At 39.5% G+C, this 22,958-nt stretch overlaps 1 long non-coding RNA gene across 1 annotated transcript, besides 1 other annotated feature; it reads right to left on the reverse strand.

Annotated features, from left to right (window-relative positions):
• Positions 1 to 1,317: 1,317 nt before the first annotated feature.
• On the reverse strand, positions 1,318 to 22,461 carry LINC02567 (long intergenic non-protein coding RNA 2567). Its single transcript, NR_149059.1, has 3 exons — positions 22,184 to 22,461; positions 1,474 to 1,598; positions 1,318 to 1,362 (listed from the first exon to the last, which is right to left on the reverse strand). It is a non-coding gene; the product is annotated as a long intergenic non-protein coding RNA 2567 (long non-coding RNA).
• Positions 9,471 to 10,046: an enhancer, noted in NCBI's record as "NANOG hESC enhancer chr1:77231962-77232537 (GRCh37/hg19 assembly coordinates)". NCBI's record gives its function as "activates a minimal SCP1, AML or CMV promoter by ChIP-STARR-seq in primed H9 embryonic stem cells {active_cell/tissue: H9 hESC(primed)}" and the evidence as "EXISTENCE:reporter gene assay evidence [ECO:0000049][PMID:30033119]".
• Positions 22,462 to 22,958: the final 497 nt, after the last annotated feature.

The following is a 22,958-nucleotide window of genomic DNA, read 5'->3' on the forward strand; positions in this document are numbered from 1 at the left end:
CTCTAAGAGGCTCTGATTCACTAATAGACACTCCCTTGATTTCCTCTAATTATTAAGTGAAAAACTTTTACTAACTAAAAAGAATTTTAAGTCAAATAATCATACAGCACAAAAATAGAAGATTTAAGTCATTCCCTCTGAATTTCAGGCTCATGTATACAAATGTCTACTAGAAGTTCTACTTAGACACTCTTAAGTATATCCCCCTAACTGAACTCATTATCTTTTTGCCAATTCCTGTTCCCTTTCTAGAATTTCCTATTTAGTGAATGATGCCCCGATATACCCAGGCAACCAACCAGGTACTAGAAAGTTGCCAGCGAGTCTTCCCTTGCCTAACGTCCTCCATCTAATCTATCCCAAAATTCCTCAAATTTTATATTCTAAATATGTTCACAGTCTCCCTGCTTCTCTTTGTCCTCATCATCACATCAACATACCCCAGCTGAAATGACAGCATCTTGCACAGGAATTATGGCCATGTGCTCACACCTGCCTTTCCAGTGGGCCTGGAAACCAGGGACCAGAGAACCATCCCCACACTGCAGTCAGAAAGAAAGCTGCTGAAATACAGTGCACTTCATAGCTCCTCCTTGGGTGGATTTTTCTTTTTTCTTTCTTTCTTTCTTTCTTTCTTTCTTTCTTTCTTTCTTTCTTTCTTTTTAATTCAGATGAATCTGTTTTCGAATTCTGACTTTTCCACTTATTAGTGAGATGGTCTTGGGCAAGTTACTCAACTTCTAAGCCTCAGCATCTACATTTTAAAAATGAAAAATAATGCTTTTTAAAATGGAGATTAGTCTAAGGATTAAATGAGAAAATGTACGGAAAATTCCTAGCACAGTAGCCAGCATAAAGTAAATCTTTCAGTGAAATTTTTCATAATCACTATCAGGAATTAAAGTCTTTTTGATGTGGGTTCCCAATCAGAGGAGAATTCTAATACAAAGCAGATTTCTTTGCTAAAATAAAGAAGCAGAAAGGACCATGGATAAAGAGTTATTTGCATGCCATAAGAAGCACCATGTAACTTATGACACCCTTGGAATCTCCTAAGGGAAAAGGCAAAAAGGAGGTTGTTTACTTCTCAGTGGGAATAGTGTTCAAATGCAAAAAAGAATTCCACTGAGACGCATGAGAAGTGACAGAAGAAACAGCTGCTGTGCCATTAAATGTTTTACAGGTATTTATTCATTTATGTATTCATCAAACATTTATTAAGCACCTACCATGTGCTCTATGCTTCTCACTGGAAATACCAACAATAGAATTCAAAGTATGCTTTTAGAAAAATTCACAGAGAAAACCATAATTTCACGTGCTTTATATGATAATACAAATGCACTCCACGTCCTTTGAGATCTACAAGACAAACATAGAGAGGGGAAGGAATTGAAGGCAGTGACCAGAGTACAAGGAAAAGGAAGGGAGAAGGAAGGGAGAAGGAAGGTCAACTGAGTCAAAGAGTAGCACCTTGACAAACTCAGATATTGGAGTTCTGGTTGACAAGTCAGCGATGAGTCCAAGGTGAGTCTTTCGATGTCGTTGAAACATGCATCTGGTTGTGGCAGGCCCTTGCTTTGTAGTGGGATACCAACCTGGGGCAATAACATAATAAGTTTAGTACTATTGGCTCTGGAGCCCAGTTTCATCTGAGTGCCTCTAGATCATGCATTTCTCCATATCCAAGCTTAGTTCATTCAAAAGACCAATATCTCTGTAGCTCCTTTACCACTAAGACACACAAGAGGGATTAAATCAGCCCTTCTTCAGGGCCACTCTGTGTGTCTGCTTCTACCTGACCAAACTCTCATTTCTGATATCTCTCTCTCTGTCCCTCTCTCCCTCTCTCTCTCTCTATCTCTATTTCTATCTTTATGTATTTCTGCCTCTCTCACTCCCCTTCCCCTACCCTCTCTTCTGCACATCACCCCTTCATATCTCCATTTAGTCACCCAACTCCCCCTCATAATATTTCCTCCAGTATCTTCTTGCCTCAGTTACTCATGGCATTCTCTTCAGCCTGGTTATTGAGAGCCCCAGAGAAAGAAAAAGGAAATATAGCCCCCCAGTTCCAATCTCATCTCCTTCTCGGTGAAAACTGTGGTTCCCCTAACTTCTTTACTAATACTGAAGTCACATTACCTGAATTTTAATTCCAGACCTACCTCTACCTGTAAAACCTTCAGAAAGCTATTTAACCTCTGTGCCTCAGTTTCTTCATCTGTAAAATGGGGATAATCACAGTATCTTCTAATGCTGTTTAATGATTAAATGAATTAATACATATAAAGTCTTAGAATACCTATTATATATTGAGTGGTAAGTGTTATTATCTCCTATGAAGAAGAACACTTTAAAAATACTCATTATATTCATTAACATTCCTCAGGAAAAAAATCCATATCTTTGGAGGAAATAACATTTTGCCAGTAGACACAGTGTTAGATTAACTCTTTAGGTTAACTATCTCACCCCACCCCCGCTTGTACTGAGAAACACTTGACTGCTCCTGCTTGACATGAGCCTCGCTGAGGTATAAGGCATGCCAACACCTTGGTATTCACCTTGCTGTCAAGACAGAAAGGCACCAGCTTTGATGCTGCAGCTCACATTCAATCCTTTGTTCTCTCAGAGCTGATTCAAAAGGTCTTAAGAACACCATGAGGGTTCATCGATCATACTAGTGTGTTTGGATTTTAATTTCCAGGCAGTGGGGATGCACCAAGATTCTTGAAGGAGGAAAATGCTGATCAAATTTCCATTTTAGAAAAAGAAATCTGGCAGCAATTTATGTAGCTGTATTGAATTGGAGGTAGGAGAAGCTGGAGGCAGGGAAACCATGCAGTGTGCTGGTAGGAGTGAATATAGCTCAGCGGTAAGCGTCTGACAGCACACTGAAGGCACAGTTGAAATAGTCTAGGTGTGAGATGCTGAGGCCTGGCCTCAAGCATGGCAAAAAGAAAAATGGATTTCTTCTGAAGGAGACATGCTAGAATTTAGATATGCAGAAAAAGAACAGGTAGGTAGTGATACATGCTCTAAGAAAAACCTAAAGCAGGTAAGAGGATCAAAAGTGATGGCAAAGAGATGGGCAAAGGGGGTGCACTTTAGATAACAGTGTTCAGGGATGGCTTTGCTAAGAAGTGACACACTCAGATATCAGAATGAAGACAGAGAGAGCCATGCAAATGTCTGGAGAATCGTAATCTAGGGGCAAAGGCACCAACACATGCCAAGGCTGTGAGATAGACTGCTGTTTGCACAACAGTAGTATGCCACTGTAGCTGTGATGTGGAAGCAGGGGGAATGTAACAGGAAATGAGGCAAGAGATTTGGCCCCAGGCCAACCCATGCAGGATCTCGCTGAGAGGTCAAGTGTAATGACTGAGAAGATGCTATTGGATTTAACAATTAACAGGGCATTGATGACCACCGCGAGAGTAATTCAGTCAAGTGTTGTGGAAGGAAGCCAAATAGACTGCAGGAGTTGAGAAGTGGATTGCACAAGAGAAAGGAGAGATGGCTAGTACAAATTCTCCTTCCAGATATGTGTCAATGAAGGAAAGGAGAAAAGGCAGGTGCTTGATCAGATTGCAGGGTTGAGAGAGGATAGGTAAACTCCTGTGCTAAGAGTGTGAGAATTGGATACATGTGGGAGCCTAGGAAGGGTGGAGAAAAGATACAAGGAGAACAAGTGGCCTGGAACCAGGAAAGGGGTTGGGAGAGTGGCGGCCCACACCTAAGACATGTACAAAGACAGAAATCCTGCAAGACAGCTTGAGAGGCTCTGCATCCAGTGAGGGTCAGTGCAGGACCCTGGGGAGCAGAGGGAAGTGGGTCAGGCCAGAGAGGACACCAGAAGGCAAATGGGAAGAGACAAGAGAGAAATAAGAATCATTGAGGAAGCTGATGGCCACACACCCGTGTCAACCCCTAGTGAAAGGAAATTGGTGATTAAGAGGAAAATCCACACTGTACAATCTCTATGCATTTAACATTGCATATTCACAGCTAATTCAATTCATATACAAGTTGTCTATATCCAACTATTTCCTTTGTGTCTGAAGTTCTGGTAAAGCATCTGCCATGTATGCTTGACTGACAAATACTTAAAATGGAACGTATTTCAATTTCAGTTATCAGGACGCTATAGAGTAGTGACTAAGAACATTGTCTCTGGCACCAGACTGCTTGGGTTTGAACCCCTCCTCTGACAGTTACCAGCTCTGTGATCTTAAACAAGTTATTTAACCTCTATGCCTTATTTTTCTCAACCATAAAATGGAAATAATACTCATACATACCCTCACAGAGTTATTACGAATATTTATAAATCACTTAGAACAGGGTCTGTAAATGAACACTATATAAATATTTATTAAAAAATAAAATTAGTGGTCAGGGAAGGTGGGTTACACCTGTAATCCCAGCATTTTGGGAGGCCAATCCAGGTGGATCACTTGAGCCCAGGAATTCAAGACCAGCCTGAGCAACATGGCGAACCCTGTCTCTACAAAAATATAAAAATTAGCCTGGTGTTCTGGCATGTGCCTGTAGTCTCAGCTGCTTAGGAGGCTGAGGTAGGAGGATTGCTTGAGCCTGGGGAGACAGAGGTTGCAGTGAGCTGAGATGGCACCCCTGCACTCCAGCCTGGGTGACAGAGAGAAACTCTTTCTCAATACAAAAGTAAATAAATAAATAATATAAAATTAGCTTTTGAGCAACACTACTGCTAATCATTACACATAAATCAGCCTAATCCTCACAAAAAAAAAACTATAAGATGGGCTATTGTTCTTATTTTACAAATGAGATAGGATAGCTAAGTGACTCCTGTCATCTGAATGTCTGTGTCCTACCAAAATCCATGTGTTGAAACCTAATCCCCATTAGGTTTTAAGAGATTAGGCCTTTTAGAGTTGATTGAGTCATGGAGGTAAAGCCCTCATAAATGGGATTGGTGCCCTTAGAAAAGACCCTGGAGGACTGCCTTGCCCTTTCTACCATGTAGCAACACAGTAAGAAGGCACTATCTGTGAAGAACAAGCCCTCACCAGACACTGAATCTGATGGGGCATTGATCTTGAACTTCCCAGCCTCCAGAACCATAAGAAATAAATGTCTGTTGGTTATAAGCCACCCAATTTATGGTATTTTGTTATAGCATCCTAAATGAACTACAAAAGTGACTTCTCCAAGATCACACAGCAAGGAAGAATAAGAACTGGAATTTGAACTCTGTTTACCTGACCCTAAAGCATGTGCTCTTTTCACTAAATTGCTGCAAAAGTTTTCCCTTGCAAAGGTTACATTTATGTGACAATTTCCAGGTATAGAATATCACTTATGTACTTAATGCTATGCTTTTTTGAGTGGTTTGTGTGGTGTGCTTTCATATACATCCCCAGCAATGGAATCCAAATCATCTCATACCACATGCACACATGCATGCACACACATACACACACACACAAACATATACACTCCAAGCTGAACACTGAATCACATCCCAAGTTTTGAGGTTAAGTTTAAAGTATATTTATTTTGGTTTGGTTGTTTTAAACCTTTAATGGCATTTGATACATTAACTTTCTGCCACCCTGAAGTATTTTGAAAATGTCAACTGAAATGATTGATTTGCACTCACCTTTTAGAAGATTGCTCAAGCCCTACCACAAAACGTAGATGGCTTATTAAACAAAAATGAGCTATTTCCTTTATCTGTCTTAGGATTTCCTCCCATAAACAGCACAGGACATTTACATTCTGGATCCCTTGCTGGGGTGCAGCCTGCAGCTGCAGTCTAGGGCTTCCTAAATTCCGGTCCAGACTGCTCTGTGATGATGGTATCACAGATCTGCAGCAAAATGAGAAAAAATAAAAATAAAAATATCCACATGCACTCACCCCCAGAAACATCTGAGTATGTTTGCTGAGGTTTCTTTTTTGGAAAGAATCATATTAGAGATGCAAGATCATATGATGCTCAAGATCACAAAATCATATATTCCAGAGCCTATCTTGCAGATTCAACTCCCAGCCTTACCATCTATCAGCAGATGACCCTAGTCAACTTCTCAACTCAGTGCCCAATTTCCTCTCGTATAAAATTAAGATGTTAGTTTCAACCTTTTAGTCTTTTTGTGAGGATTAATAGAGCTTATGCATATAAAGCATTTGGAACATGCCTGGCACATAACACTCAAAACACATAATCCATTGGTATCATTATGACATGTTGTTATTTCTACCTTTTTGGTTTTAGAAATATCCTTTACTTTTATATATAATATCACTAATTCATGGTTGTTATAGAGGTTGATTTTGTTTTTTGGTATGTTTAGTTGTTGATTGTTTTAATATTCTTACTTGGTACAATTAAAAGGTTTAAACAATGTCACTAGCACATGGTGGTTGTTGATTCTTGTTCATTTTGTCAATTGTTGTTTTAATATACTTATTTGACAAAAGAAAAAGTTTGCAAACCTATGTCACCTTCAAATTATTTTTTAATATTTACTAGCCTATGAATCCCTTAAATTTGGGCATCAGTATTCATCTTTAGAAATTCTTTCAATAAAATAGCTGCCTTACTAGTTCATGTGCAGTCATGAATTGTATCCAATTTTAATCCATCCATTTTAATCCAACCAAGTGGGATAAAAGAATACAGTACAGACAGGCTAGTGTAACTCCTGGAACACTTTCATCAACCTATCTAATTAAAGGCTGCAGCAGTTATTCAGGCAAGGCAGAAAGATTGTATCGGCTTAAGTAATGAAACTAGGTTTATAATTTGAACATTTGAGGATGGAAGAAGGCAGTCTGTTCATTTGCTTTACACAATATCTCATGTAGTTGGCCCAATATTTTTCTTTTAAATGTGAGATAACATCAATGTAGTCAGAATTTACTCTGCCTGCAAATATACAGAAGATCCTAAATTGAGCCTAAAACTTCTTAAAATCTCAGACTTCTGCAAATATATTCTCAGACGATTATATCTGTTATTGTGGTAAGCCTGTTAAGCAGCATTTCTCAAAGTTCCTCAAAACAGTATTCCATTACGTAATGCATTAGTTCCCAGGGCTGCCATAACAAAGCACCACAAACTGAGTGGCTCAAACAACAGATATTTATTGGGTCACAGTTCTGGAGGCTAGAAGTCTAAGGTCAGCGTGTCATTATGGCCATGCTCCCTCTGAAGGGTCTGTTCAGTCCTCTCTGGCAGCTTCCAGGAGTTTCTTGGCCTGTGGAAGCATAACTTCAATCTCCATATGGCATTCTTCTTCTGTGTGCATTTGTCTCTGTGTCCAAATTTTCCCCTTCTCTAAGGATACCAGTCATCTGGATTAGGGGTTCAGCCTACTCCAGTATGACCTCATCTAGACTATCTACATCTGCAATGATCCTATTTTTTAAAAAGGTCACATTATGAGGTACTGGGGATTAGGTCTTCAGTATATGAATTTTAGGAGACACAATTCAACCCATAACAAAAATTATTTCAAATTTTTGAAAGAATTTTTTTAAAAATATTTTCAAAAATTTGAAAGAATAGAAAAAAAGGATTCTAAGGCCAAAAAGTTTGCAAAATTTTGCCGATTCTATTCACTATCCACATCGAAAAGGCACAACAGCATCTTAAAAATTTTGAGCCACTTACAATACTGATACTTTATACAATTAGAAAACCCAATGTTTCTCAAGTTTAGGTGACCGGGGAATCTATTTCCATAAGTGACACTCATTTACGTCCCTCTAGTGTTCCATGAAATAACCCTCAGAAAATGCAAACAGATTTCAAACAGCCCTATCAGAGAGCAGCCCAAGACTTAAACCCTGATCATTGTCTATAACAACAGTGAAAATAAATTTCAGGCAAGCCAGCAAGCTTATGACAGCCCATAACCCTGTCACCTCTTCTTGCCTCTTTGGAAGAAGAGTGGGAGTGTTACAAAGTCCTGAATAGAAGCTCTTCACTGCAATTATAACAGACTCAAAATCAAGTGGCAAAAAGGAACGCCATCATTAAGCGAGGAGGGGAAAAACATGACGCTGACATTCTGCCAAAGCTCTTTAAATGAGGTCATGCACTCGAGCGCACAGACTATTGCTGATAACCGGCAGCGCAGGAAGAATTGTTAGGAAACAATAGAGCATGCATGGTGTGGCTGTTTCATGAGTGGGAAGGAAAGTGAGTGTGGGGCGAGCTGTGGAGCTGCCCTCGCTGCTGCCGATAGTCAAATTCACAGCTGGCTGCCCTGGGCAAATGCATCGGCCGATCTCGGCGCCCCAGGCACACGCGGGCCAGAGCTCTGCTGCCACCCGGGCAGCTGCCGCGCTGTGGGTTGATGCCCTGCTAATCCCACTCTGCACATCCCCCTGCTTGACGGAGCAGAAGAAAAGTCACTGTGCAGCGGCTGATGTGCTTTCCTTTTCAAGCAGATGCTGCTTTATTGGACGCCTGACTTTGCGATTAACTTTGGCTTATTTTTTGCTGTATGCCTTTTCCAAAGCTGCTTTAGTTCCGGGTGCAAGCTGAGTGCCTGTGATTTCATTAATCCGGTACTTTCTGCTCTCAGCAGCCTGGTTCACCACCGGGTCTGCAATTGGCATTTTGCTTGTGTCCTGGCTAGAACAATTGCTAGCCTATTTGTCTCAACAGGCTTATTATAGATTTGGCCCATGGACTCATCTCAGACACTGCAGAGGCACCGTCTTCATTCAGACCTGATAGAAAAATATGCTAACTATGACAACACCTTTGGAGTCTTCCTTAGGCCTGATATGGAAGGGGAAAATGAACAATTGTAGTGCAGAGAAGAGGACAGCCAACCAGAGGCATTTAATTGGAAAGCAAACTCGCCTCAGGTATGTGAAGATGTGGGAAGTGATACCCGAATGTTGATGAGAAACAAATATTGAGTAAATCATTTTAAAAGAGATGGGAGAAGAATACAAAATCCGGTGTTTTTTTTAAAGAAAACCCACTCAACTGAGCTCTTCCAGGTATACATAAAGAGGGATATGATCTCCTATAGAAAGCAATCGGCATCCTCTGGTTAAAAATGAGGCTTTGAAAGTAAACTTCCAGGGCATTCAATTCCATCCTCTAAATCCCCAACATATCCACATGAAACGACTGCTAACCAGGTTAAACGATTAGCTGAGCAGGAGAATCAGAGATTGATATTCCAATGCAACGTGTCATAAAACCCAAGCCAGTAGTGTCTGTAGCATAAGCCTGAGCTCCCATTTGGTCATTATTTGAAGCCATACAAGAAGATCCTTATTCTTCCCTTTTCCCACACTCCAAGGGACTCAAGTGCACACATATGCACACACACACACACACACGTGTACATGCAAATACACACAGAAACATAGCTGAAGTTTCTGCCTCCTTACTTAGAAAAAAAAAGTAAAACATCTGCTTTTAAGACCGTCTATAAGAGGGGTCTATATGTTTACCTGCCTCCCCTCTCCATTCCATCTTAAGGGAAGGCATGGAATAAAATTAGCATGAAACACATTGGGGAAAATTGTGGGGAAATATTACTTGGTTCTCCTGGTGAGAAATTGAAACCCAAAAAGACTATTGTATAAAATTCAGTTGTTCTTCAGTCAGTAACATATCATAAATTCTGCCTTAGAAACCAAACCAAAGGACTGCAGAAAGTTTGAAGATCTAGAAAGAAAACAAAACACCAGAGAGTGATTAGTGATTCTCTCCAGGTGGTCTAGAGTACTGTTTAAAGCCGCATCATTATGGCAGGCTCCCTCCAGGGCTTTCTCTAAGCAGTCCCATCTAAATGCCCTGAGAGTCTAAACATGTTTTAAGTTCAATGAGGAATGAATTTCTGAGATGGAATATGCAAACTCTTTGGGATCTATGAACCAGAGGGTGATGCAGGACAGCATTTGATGCTAGGCATTAGAATTGCTGCAAGAGATAAAATATGGTGGAATCCAACCTTGTTTCGGCAAAATTTGCAATTTTTTGCAAAATGTTCACAAGCAAACAGAAAAAAAATCAAAGCATTTTCTTTCTAATTGCATTTCTCTCTTTCCTACCCCAATGCTACCCAATTTTTGTTTCCACTAATAAACCACTTTAACAACAGTATAGATGTACCAAGATGATGAATTTCAATTCAAATGCACTCTATTTTGCTATTGAGACTAAATGTGAGCCAGGCATGCTATGGACCCCTCTGGACCCTTTCAGAAGGCAATATTCTCAACCAAGTGGTTGTAAATCTTGGCTGAACATTGGTATCACCTGGGAAGTATTTTTAAAATACTGCTGCCTGGATCCTCTGTCTTCAGAAATTTTGGTTCATAATTGGTCTGGGCTACAACATGGTTTTTAAATTTTCAACCAAGACTAAGAACCAATGTAAGAGTAACCTATATTATTTGAGTTTATCATTCTTTCAGATATGTTTCTCTGGTTCTGGCCCTTTGGGGATTCTCCACAGACATCACTCCTAAACCAATACTGATATCATAAGTCAAGCCATAGCCCAGTGAATGGACCTGATATATTTTACAAGATGCACCAGGACAGTGCCCTCTCCCTGCTGCCTGACCTCTCAGTCTCTCTGAATACACCAAGCTATATTAGACAGATTGATAACAGAAGGGTTTGGGCAATATCAGAAAAGAGTTACAAATCTAGAAAACAACAGGAGGTTCTACTAAATTGGACTTTTCTGAGCCTCAAAAGGAATATCCCTCATGGGTATTTTCCCCACTGTTTACCAGGGTTCCCAGCCATCATGTAGCAAACTTTTTCCACCAAAGGGCTTCTGTCTAAAGTCTCTCTGTAGAAATCTCTATCTTTTCTAGGAAAATTCCTCCCCTTCCCACTCCCAGATTCTCCCCATCCCCACCTCATACACCATTTTCCAAATTAGATTCCTACCATCTTAAGATGCAACTGCATGTGTAAGCCAGATAAGCCTCCCAAGCCTCTCTACTTGCCAGGGGAGAAATGGGGTCCAATCTCATAGGCAAGGGTGGTCCTGGATCCTCCAATTGAGATTTTTTTTTCTGTAGCTCACCACTAGAGCTGTAGTCCTGCCAGTGACTTCAACAAGAACATCTTAATTAGGCAATTTATCCCAAGGGTGGATTAATTGTTCCTCCTGATCACCTATGCACACCACTACAGTAAATTTAGCTAGGGGTCTCAAACTGAAATGACCTCAGAGATCTGGGAGTTAAGAAATGAGTTAATGGTCTCGGTATAAGACAGTAGAGAATGTTGGGAACGGAATTCATTAAATACTATTTAGTAATAAAGGCATAAAATATAAAAAATAACTGTGGCATTCAAACAAAATACAGTTGAGGACCTAAGCCAGTCAACTGGCCCATTTTTGAACACTAATCTAAATTCTTATTGAGAAAAAAAATATTTTCATTCAACTTTCAAGGCATATGCCCTAGACTTAGAAGGAATAGGAGTCACTGTGGAGCTCATAAAGGGATTTTGCTTGTTCCTGCCCCGTGAGGAGGTAGGTCCACCTAAATCAATGAAGGGCTATATTGGCATTAGTGGAGACACTCCGTCCTCGTACCCACCTGTGCCACATGTATTCCCACTTCTACACTTTCCATCAAGCTGCTCCCTTTAGCTCTACCACCCTTCCCACCTCCCTTCACCTGGCTAATGCCTATTTATGCCTCAAGACTCAGCTTAGGTATTACTTCCACAAGGGATCCCTCTCTACCACACCTCCCAGACTAGTTTGGACTTTCCTTACACATTCCCATAGCATCCTGTATTTGCTTGTTCATAGAACACTTCACAACATTAAATATCTGCTCTGCACCCACTGGCCAGATTGTAAACAATTCAAAGCCAGATGGTATTATTTGTTGATGAGATTGTGTAGCAACATGAACGGTTTAACATTGCTGGTGGTAGTGAAAACTTAAACACGTAATAATACAGGAATTCAGTTCCTAGGTATAAACTTCTAAAAATTCATTGCAAATGTGTGCAAGGAGATATTGATGAGAATGTGCATAACAGTATTGTTTGTAATGTCCATTATAAGGAAAATGGATATTTAAATTGTGTTAAGTAAAGTTTATCCATAAAATGGACTATTACCCAGCAATGAAAAGGGAATTATTAAAGCTACATGTGCCAAAGGATGAATCTCATAAACATCATTCTCAGAGAAAAGTTTAAGTCATTGAAGAATACCTGCAGCATGGTATAACAATATAAAGCTTTAACATGTGTAAACAAAATTATGATTAGTTTAGGAACACATACAGGTATAATAAGTTGTGTTAGTTTGCTGGGGCTGCTGTGACAAAGTACCACAAACTGGGTAGCTTCAACAGCAGACATTTATTATCTCACTGTTCTGTAGGATAGAAATCTGAGATCAAGGTGTCGGCAGCGTTGGCTCCTTCTGAGGGCTTTGAGGGAAGGATCTGTTCAAGACCTCTCTCCTAGCTTTGGGTGGTTTGTTGGCAATCTTTGATGTTCCTTGGTTTCCAGACGCATCATCCTACACCTTCTTTCATGTTCACCTGGCATTCTCCCTGTGTGCATGTCTGTCACTATATCCAAATTTTCCTGATTTATAACAACACAGTCATATTGGGTTAGGGCCCACCTTAATGATCTCTTCTTAACCAGACCATTTGCATGCATGTTCTTTCCAAATAAGGTCAAGTTCACAGGTACCAGGGTTAGGACTTAAACATTTTTGGGGGAACGCAATTCAACTGATAATGTAAATATATAAAGAAACACATGGTAATGATAAATGCCAAATTAAGAGAAATAATTATTTCAGGGTTGAAGGAGGAATCTGTGTTCAGGAAAGGGTTAACAAGGGTTTCAACTGCCATAGGAATATTTTATTTCTACAGCTGATTGTGAATACACAAGTGTTTCCTCTATTAGTCTTTGTAGCTCTTTTTAAATCTAAAATACTTCATGGTAGTTATAAAATATATATTTTATAATAATTAAAATAGATATTTTTTCCTGTACATCTTCACATTACACTGTGAAACATATGAGGGCAGGGCCGCTGTATCACAGGGGAGCACAGTGCTGATAACAGCAGGCATTCAACAAATCCTTGAATTAACTAATGAGGCCGACTTTATTTATCGCTACCTGGGTGTGAGGAACTGAGAGGACATGGGTTTTGATTGCATTATCCTGTGGGTGATCAGCAGCATTAGGACTTTAACTTAAGTAATCTAACCCTCCAAATATCATCATCTCTCTTCCTTGATGTGGGGGAGGAAAACTGAGTACTACAGAAATCCAAAGGGTTGTTTTTGCTTCTTTATTCTTGTCATTGGATACCCAACAGTTAAGTTGGCAGAGACACTCAGATGTTACTAGGCCTCAACATATTTAATTACAAACCCACTATTCAAGGAATTCAGAGACCAAGATGTTAATATGTGGAGATTCACAGCCACTGTAATCTCAGTGCTTGCCACCATATGAACCTGGCCTGGGTGCAGATAGGTAGCCTTAAAGAATTACAGTAAACATACCTTCCTTATGACAAAAGCATGTAAATAATGAACTAGAGGAATCTAGGAGAAAAAAAGAAGGGTATACAACAGCACATTACTGGGGATAACAGTACCTGGTAAATTTGCCTAGCTCCCATTTGTCCCCACTTATTTGGGAATTATCTCTTGGTCCGCAGAAGTCGGTCTTTCCATCAAGTTATACTTTGTGTTTTCACGTCTTCAATTGCATTTGATGGGACCAGACATGAGCACCAAACCAAAGCTTACCAATCAGATGCAGATGAGAAACTGGAACTGAGAAGTATTAGTCTCTGCAGCTGAATAGAATTGTAACATCTGAATTCAGGCACTGTGGGGTGGCCACATTCTACTTTTTGGAAAAAAAAAAAACTAGAAAGAGGGTCTGCAGAGGAGAGAAAAAGAGAGAGAGAGGACCAGTGAATCATGAGAAGATAAGAGATGAAAACAGGAGAGACTCGAAGCCTTTCCAGGTGCTCATTCCAAATCCTTCCTGAAATCTACCTGTGTTCGTGTCCTCAGGTTCCATGAAGGTTCCCTGTATTGTTAAAAGAAATACCTATTTTATTTAAGTGAGGTCAAATTAGTTCCTGTTACTTGTAACCAAAGAGACCTGACTAATATAGCTTGGCAGATGGTGGGATAAAGCACAAAACAGAAAGGAACTGAATTTCTCAGCCTAACAGGTGGCAGGAATGATGCACCCGGTCCCATTCTTTCAGCCCTGCCCACCCACTACCTTTCCATCCCACTCAGCAGACGAATTTCCATTTTTTTCAATCCAGAATGGGAAACAAATGAAAGATACAAAACCTTCCAGATTATTAGCACAAGCCAAATGGAGCTGGACAGCCTCCAGCTACCCACTCAGCCACCCTCAAGCAGCTGTCTCCAAGAGCTAAATGAGAACAACCATGACAATAAGAATTCAGCTTTGGAGCACAATAGGAGCCTTTCCTGGAGCCAGGAAGGTGGAACACTGAGTGAGCCGGGGGAGTGGGAAAGGGTTTTGGGGCTGAGAAGTTTGAGCAACAAAGGTGGGAACTGGGAAAAAAAAAAAAGAGACTGATGGGCAGAACAACCAAATGCCTTCTTTAGCCTCTTTAAGAGCTCTATCAGTCACTATTAAATTAGTCAGTGACAGTTTGCAGCCAAGAAGAAAAAGAAAAATGCCAAACTCACTTATTGGTATATCTCCATGCCTACCAGCCACCCCACACTGGCAACAGGTATATATTAGATGAACAACATCATCTTTAATGAATTACACAGAACTAAGCTGTATTTGGATTGTGAGCACCCATAATCATATCTTGTTCAACTTTATATCACCAGTAACTACCCTGATTCTGGGCTTAGAATTGGCACTAAATATATGCTTGGTGGATGTGATTACATTTACTTGAGTGTGCTGTCAAGATGCCCAGTATTGGTGCTGCAGCTTAGGAATATCCTCTTGATTATTGCAACCAGAGGTGAATGCCTAATACTAATACATGGAACTCATGTTTCTGCCCAAAAGAAAGAAAATTAAAAAGCTACTTTTCTACCAGGAAAGTTTAAAATGATGTCTCCTATAGTGCAGCATAACTAGGAAGACAAAATATAGAAAGAGGGCCTAGAGTATCCAAACTATAAAGAGATAAGAGTTTCAGTTTCAAGCCCAGTGAGACAATGAAGCATTCCCTACATAACTGGAATACATTTCTCCAAAATGCCACCATACCCATGTTTCCTTCCACACTGACCATATGCCTATCAGCATCATAGGCTTTCATTGTTTGATTAAGAGAGCTTGTGAGTGTCCCAGAAGGGTTGAACAATTGGAGAATGCCCATTTAAGACAGTTCAAATGGAGCTCAGCAAAGCCACACTTCTGATGGACAACCCGCCAATGACAGGTGGGCTAGAAGCCATCACCAAAAGGATCCCACCAGGCACACAAAAGGGCTAATGTGACTTCCTAGCCCAGATAACTGGGCAGTGCTTCCTCAGATGTTGCTGGGTGGTCCGGAGGATTGATCTGACTTCCAGGAGGCCCCACTGCACTGCACTGGGAATCAGTGATCTTTTGTTGCTGACTTTATTCCTTTGCCTGTGGCTCCTTTAGGGGGACCCCTTCTCCAGCTACTTCTCTATGCCCAAATTCCCTTCCATTTTCTACTCCCCTCCAGGTCTCACTGACCCTCATTCCAGTCCCTTAGGAGCAAGATCATCTGATCTTTTTGCTTCCCTTTCCAGCAGGTTATTCTGACATAACCTTTAGGTCCACTGTGCTCTAGGGCTGACCTTGGGATTCTCAAAGCCTTTCCTCTCTTAATTAGTCTCTTCTAACAAAAAAGCTTTTCCTTTTAAAATTTATTTTTGCTGCCAACGCCAATAGACTATTTTGGAAATCAGAAAACCTCAATTTGAGTCTTTTTCTTCTTTGCATTTCTGCTACACCAATTCTAATTCTTCTCAAGGTAGTGTGGATATTCCAACAGTCTAAGGAACATGTCACTCATCTTCAAGTAGATGCTGAAAATAGATAGGCTCATTTCTTGTTATTATATTCACATATGATCTTAACAGGAACCAAGAGACCAGCATTTTGCAAAATATTTTGCAGGAAGAAACCTTGGAAATGTTATTTCTGAAGATGGTACCTAAAGGAATTCCAAGTAGGACCACAAAAAGAAATTTTAAACCACTTGTAGTCTTTTCTAAAGTTTTGTAGACAAAATCTGAAGTCCCTGAATCCTAGCTTGGAATGAGGCTTCTGATACATAGACATCCAAGAGACACCTCAGAAAATGCAAACTCTTAGTCACTAGCGAGGCTTCACCTCCTTCTTGCTCTCTCAAGTTTTCTGTCCTAGTGAACATAGCTGGTATTATGAAAATTGCAAGAATAATTTTTCAGGCTGAAGTCGAGGCTCGTTGTGGAGGGTCTACTCCCTCCTATCTTCACTTTGGGGCCCCCTTTGACTCCTTGGACTTCCAAATGATGACAAGTCTAATAACCCAGATGACCTCCAACATCAATGCTATATGATATGGAAAGAACAACGAAAGAGAGGAAAAGAGAAGAAGAGAGGGAAAAGACAGCCTTTTAACTCTCTTGTCTCTTCCAATCCAGTTACATCCCTATCAGAGAAGTTCCACTGTGTGTAACTCAAATATTCTATGTTTTCCTTTATCTAATCAAAGTTTCTTTTTCTGGACTTGCATCTTTCTAGTGTGGTAGCCACTAGCCACATGTGGCTATTTAAATTTAAATTTCAACTAATTAATATAAAGTTAAAAATTCAGCTCCTCAATCATGTTAACCACATTTCAAGAAGTCTAGAGCCACAAATAATAGCTACTCTTTGGAGAGCATGATATAGAATATTTCCATCATTATGGAAAATCCTAATGAACAGCACTGTAAATGTAGACAGTGAGAGAATGGGGAGTCCTTAGAATGGAGAGTTCCTTAGAACTTTATGAATGTGACCGATAAAGCAGATTCAGCTAGTAATGGTAGTAGTAGTAATAGCTTAACATTTATTAAGCACCTCTCTAGGTTATTACAAGGGTTATTTTCATTTTACAGAAGGGCTTAGGAAGACTATGGTGTGTGTAGTTTGAATCCAGCAAGTCAGGTTCCAAGAGCCCATTCTCTTGGAACTTTGATGTGCAATATAGAAAAAGTATCAACCGGACTTGAAAGAAAAGTCACCCACACCAAACCAAACAGAGTCTACTACAGTGATATTTGAAAATGAATGAGGCTATGCTCTTGCAAACACTGGCTACAGGTTTCCATCTGCTACTTAGAGAAAAGGGTTAGGACATCCATATCAGAATCCAGCAATGTATCATTTGTACAGATGTCAGTATGTTGTAAAATGCATGTTCATTATTATTCCATAATCTCTAATTTTCCCTTAGCTGTCATCCTAGTCTTCTTAGATTGTAAGTTTCAAGGAGGTGGGGATTATGCCTATCTTTAACATGACTATATCCCCAATATGTAATACCTGTATTTAACGTAGTATAGAGTATGTAATAGTCTCTCAATACATATTTTTGCATGAATAACAAGAGAATAAAAATAATCTTTCCAAGTTTTTTTTTTCTTTCCAAGACCTACCTGATCATAAAGTCAGGACTTTCGTGTGTACAGTAGGCAAAAAAAGATACTCAGTACCCTTTTCATAATGCCTTTCTCATGTAATGGGCATTTGTTGATTTAGTAACTCAGGCTACATTCTCTCTTCCTATGGTACAACACCCCAATTTCTATTTAGGGAATGACTAATTCCCATTGTGTGCAATCTTAGAGTACTACCAGTCAAGGATATCTGTACTCCTCTAGCCAAATGGCAAGCCAAGGTAGACCAACTCTCCTTCCAGACGGAGACTGCTAAGTGGAGCTGCACAAACTTAAATGATCAGTTGGAACAAATTCACTCAAAGTGTGATGCCCATAAGATTGCCCTTTCGTTTCTCCACCTGAATCCCTAGAACTCCTGATTTCTTTCTCTTCTACATCTATTTTCTCAGCTTTTCCTTCAGTTCTACGAGTACCCTGCATTCTCCCCAAACAAAACAAAGTAAAACAAAATGTTTTTTATTAAGTTAGCCAAGTTAGTTTTTTCTCTCTTTAAACCCCCAAATTCAATCAGTGCATCTAAGAAATCTTCTCCCTACTTGCACCCTCATACCACCTAGGGGTGGCCACATAACTTGTGCAGCCCAGTGCACTATGAAAATTTGGAACCCCTGGTACGAAAACAGGGTAACAGTGTCATTAAAGGTACTAAAATATAAAGCTCTTTCTTTCTTCTGTAGTCTCTTTCTGTGCTCATCATAAAGTTTGTTCTTTCATATATAATGTTTGAAGTAAAGACAAATTGCAATTTTAAATTATTATCATAAATTTTATCATTTATCTTCATTGTATAATGCCTGTGTTAAGTGCAATAGCAGACCATTTAACTGATATCCAGAATTACCAAAATTACACAATTCTCATTTCATAGTTCATACATGTGTATGTATTTTGTTCTTACTAGAATAGTAATTAAACAAAAGAAAAACTTACTCAAACTGATTTTATTTCACTTCTTGATACATATACATTACACTTTTGGACTTACTGACGAGTAGAAAGAACTGAAAGGAATGAGAATTACAGAAACCTTCCCTTTTATGTCACCATTCCCAGCCTGAGTTTCAGGGATGTAACAGAAGTAAAAAAAAGAATATCATAAGGTTTTTTGGTCTTTCATATTTATTGGAACATCATTGCTTTCCTTTTGCATTCAATATAAGTTCTGGGTACAATCGAAAGTGTAGACTCTAATGCTGTCAGTGCCCTTGTTTACTCAGTTGTAAATGTACTACAGTTAACATTATATGGGCTTTGAATCTCACTGAACTTCCACATGTTGTGGATCCACCAGAATTCTATCCTCACAGGGCATCAGGAAGGCTATATATGGATGGGGTGCCAAGGAACAGCAGCAAACCCACATTGCCTTTATCTCCTCTGCTTTCACACCTACTCTATTATTCCATTGAACTTGGCTTATGAAATATAAGTTCGAAAATAAAATTATTAAGAATGTCAGGATAATGACAGCAGACTCCTAAACCACTTCTAGGCATGGGATCCCAGGCAACTGCCCAGTATGATGCTGACCCTGACATCACAACTTGCATTTGGACCAACAGTAGTCAAGCTACCTATCCTTTCACCAGCTTATGCCCTCAAGTCTGCTTGACCTGTGGACATCTCATTGCAAGAAGATGTCCCTGCATGATGGTTCACTCTGTCCTTTGTGTGAGACTCACTGAGAATAAGAGAAGATGGAGTTTCAAACAAGGGTTTTGTGCTTTTCCTATTTAAATGAGTTTCAGAGAAGCCTGTATAGCCCTACTTAGGAAGGAACAAAGAAAAACTCCTGAACATTCTACTGCTTTCTATAAAGGCAAATGAAGGGACATTTCACAGGGCAGGAGAGGATCTAATAGTGACTGTCTAGGAGAAAAGATTAGAACATTACAGGAAATATCCTCAGAGAGAAGACCAGAGAGTGACCCTCCTCATTCCCAAAGCCTCCATTCTGTCCTGCTATGGCAATTTAGATGCTATAACATTTAAATCCCAAAATGGAAAGGACCTTTGAGGTCATCAGATGCAACTCTTTCATTTTACAGATGAGGGTAGGTGACTTTCTTGATGTCACCATGCCAGTTACTAGCAGCACCAGGCAAGGGCCTTAATTCTTAACTTTTACCCCCATAATTAGCCGAAGGATTCTTTCTCCTAAAGATAAAAATAAAGGGTATACTGTATGATTTTATTTTTACAGCACTCTTGAAATGACAAAATTATAAAAATTGAGAACAGATTAGTGATGACCGGGGGTAGAGATAAAAGAAGGTGGAGGGAAATGAATGTGTCTATGAAAAAGAAGTGGAGGGTCTTTATGGTGAATCTGTGTCTTGCTGTATCAATATTAATATCCTGGTTATAATATTGTACTATAATATTAAAAGACACTCTTTTGGGGAAACGGGGGAAAGAATACATAGGATCTCTGTATTATTTCTTACAATTACATGTGTCTACAATTATCTCAGTTAAAAGTTTAATGTAGGCTGGGCATGGTGGCTCACGCCTGTAATCCCAGCACTTTGGGAGGCCGAGGCGGGAGGATCACAAGGTCAGGAGATGGAGACCATCCTGGCTAACACAGTCAAACCCCGTCTCTACTAAAAATACAAAAATTAGCCGGGCATGGTGGCGGGTGCCTGTAGTCCCAGCTACTCAGGAGGCTGAGGCAGGAGAATGGCGTGAACCCGAGAGGTGAAGCTTGCAGTGAGCTGAGATCGCACCACTGTGCTCCATCCAGCCTGGGCGACAGAACAAGACTCTGTCTCAAAAAAAAAAAAAAAAAAAAAAAAAAAAAAAAAAGTTTAATGTAAAAAATTAATAAAAGACACATTTAAAGTTTGACTTCCTTCACTTAAATAATAAGCCAAACACTAAATTGATAATAATTGAACTATTGAAATGAATCCTATTATTCTCTTACATGAGTGATTTGATGTTGTACCTGGATTTTTGTTTTGTATGCAATTCCTGCTTTTTTGTATCACTATTAGACCTTACTTTTCAGAGTCACCTCTTTTCATAGTCTATCTGACAACACTCATCCAAGAGGGCAAGAAGTCATAGCCCCAGAATACATACAATGGAGATGACATGGATGCCACTGGTGACCAAGAATGTTTAGAATCCAGAGAGGTGATGAACATCAGGCAGCATATCTAGACGACATTGTTTCATCTCTTCGGGATCTCTCAATGCAGGAGAATAAAAATTTTAGAAAAAGATGTTCATTGACTGCAAACCTAACAAAGATTAGTAAGGCCATCTGGGGCTGTTAGGACCCATTCTGAAAGACCAGAGAAATATTAGAGTGTTCCAAATGTGTCAGCCTCATCTTAAACTAAATGAATCACTAAAGGATGGTGCCACTTCTCTGAGTAAACACACTCAGCCATCTGTACCAACTACCATCAAAAAATTATTCCTCCCTTGATCAGACACACCCTCCATCACAGATGTTTTGGAATGTAACTTTAAGGAAAGAGAGAAAGAATGGAAACATTAAAATTCATAACAAGAATAATAAATTGGCTTCAAAGGAAGTTCTAAACAAGGAAGTTCTTTGTTCTACAGAATTCCCAGTGGGTCACCTTTGATTCTATTTGGAGGTACAGCTAAAGCACATTGAGGAAGAACCAGAGTATATTCAAGGGTGGATGTGCATTGCCTTTTCACAGACATGATTGCTTTGTAAACAATCATGAAAAAGAGATTACATACATTATTAGAGTAATTAGAGTTGTAGATACATAAACAAAAAATATCAGCTCACCACTTTGGGTGTATCCATATTTTGATTTTATTCTAGCATTTGAGACAAAATGAAGATATTTTGGTAAACATGGACTTATTGACTTAAGAAAAAAATCTTTTTCCTTCTAAGAAAAAAGAGAAATACAATTTTTGTTTCTCTTATTTATTCATTGATTCCTTTTATTCCCAACTCCTCTACATAAGCACTATATTAAGCTTTGAGGATACAGCTGTGAAGAATAATAACAGCAACAGGAGTTTATATAGTTTATATAGGTGTCAGACACTGTTCTCACAAATATTAAATCACACAGTTTTTCTAATAGCCCCGTGAGGTAGATATTACTATCATCCTTGTTATATGGCTCAAGAGGCTTAACTTTCCCAAGGTTACAAAGCTAACAGATAGATAGTGAAGCTGAGATTTGAACACAGTAATCCTAGCTCCAGAGCCAAATTCTTAACTGCTACACTTAGGTAAAGATTCACTGATACAGCTCCAATTTCATGGAGCCATTTGGTTTATCAGGGGAGACAGACATTAAACTAATAATGTTCATGAATACTAACAACTGGAAGTTTAGGGTATAGCGAGAATTAGCCAAGGAGAAATGGTCCTCTCTCATTCTCTTTTCCCAAAATATCTTACCCCTCCACCTTGTTGGGACAGACTCCTTTCGCTTTCATGGTTTTTCTCATTGGTTAAATCAAGCACGGAGCAGGTACTTGCCTTGTACTGGATCCTGGCTATCTTCAGCATAATGCATCTGGAAACTTGTAAATTCTCCATAAGGAAAATTATCTCTGGTCCATGGTAAAGAGCAAAGCTGTAAAACGTGCCTGGCAACCGAGTGTCAATTTCCAAGCTGCTTCTTATGGGCATTAAAAAATCTTGCTGTTAGTATTTTCTATTTCTTGCTGCTGATATTTCCACTGAAAACGATTTTATTAATGCGAGGATTCAAAAGGACAACGTGAAATGAAATTTAAATAACTTTTTCATATTACAATAAACCTTCATGTGGGGAACTGATGGTTAGAGCTCAATCTTCTTTGCTCATTGAGGGCCCCACAAGCCTAATTAACACTGGCTTGCAATCAAGGCTATTATTTGGTGGCTACTTCCTCCACGGACCTGCCACCACAGCATTTCTGACCCCACATCTTGTTTTCAAGTTCACACAATAGATCTTTTCTAAAATGTCTCTCTTTCCCTTATGAGAATGAAACTAGTGGTATTAGCTCTCTCCCCTACTGCTTTTCTTTGCAGATTCCTCTTTTTTTTTATTCCTAGGGCTCTCTCTGGAATGAAAGTACTTTTTCTATTTTGCAAAGGCCTCCTTTCACACTGGAAAAAAATGGAGTTTGGTACTAAGTAAAGTGGAGGCCCTCTGACAGTAAAATGATTAGAAAGCACTTTGTTCAGAATTCTAATCCCCTGCCCCACTGTGAGAACAGGATTACTCCCCAAAACACGTTCAAGGGGCCCTGCAGGAAACTGGAAG

The sequence above is a fragment of the Homo sapiens genome, chromosome 1, assembly GCF_000001405.40.
Source record: "Homo sapiens chromosome 1, GRCh38.p14 Primary Assembly".
Classification (NCBI taxonomy): domain Eukaryota; kingdom Metazoa; phylum Chordata; class Mammalia; order Primates; family Hominidae; genus Homo; species Homo sapiens.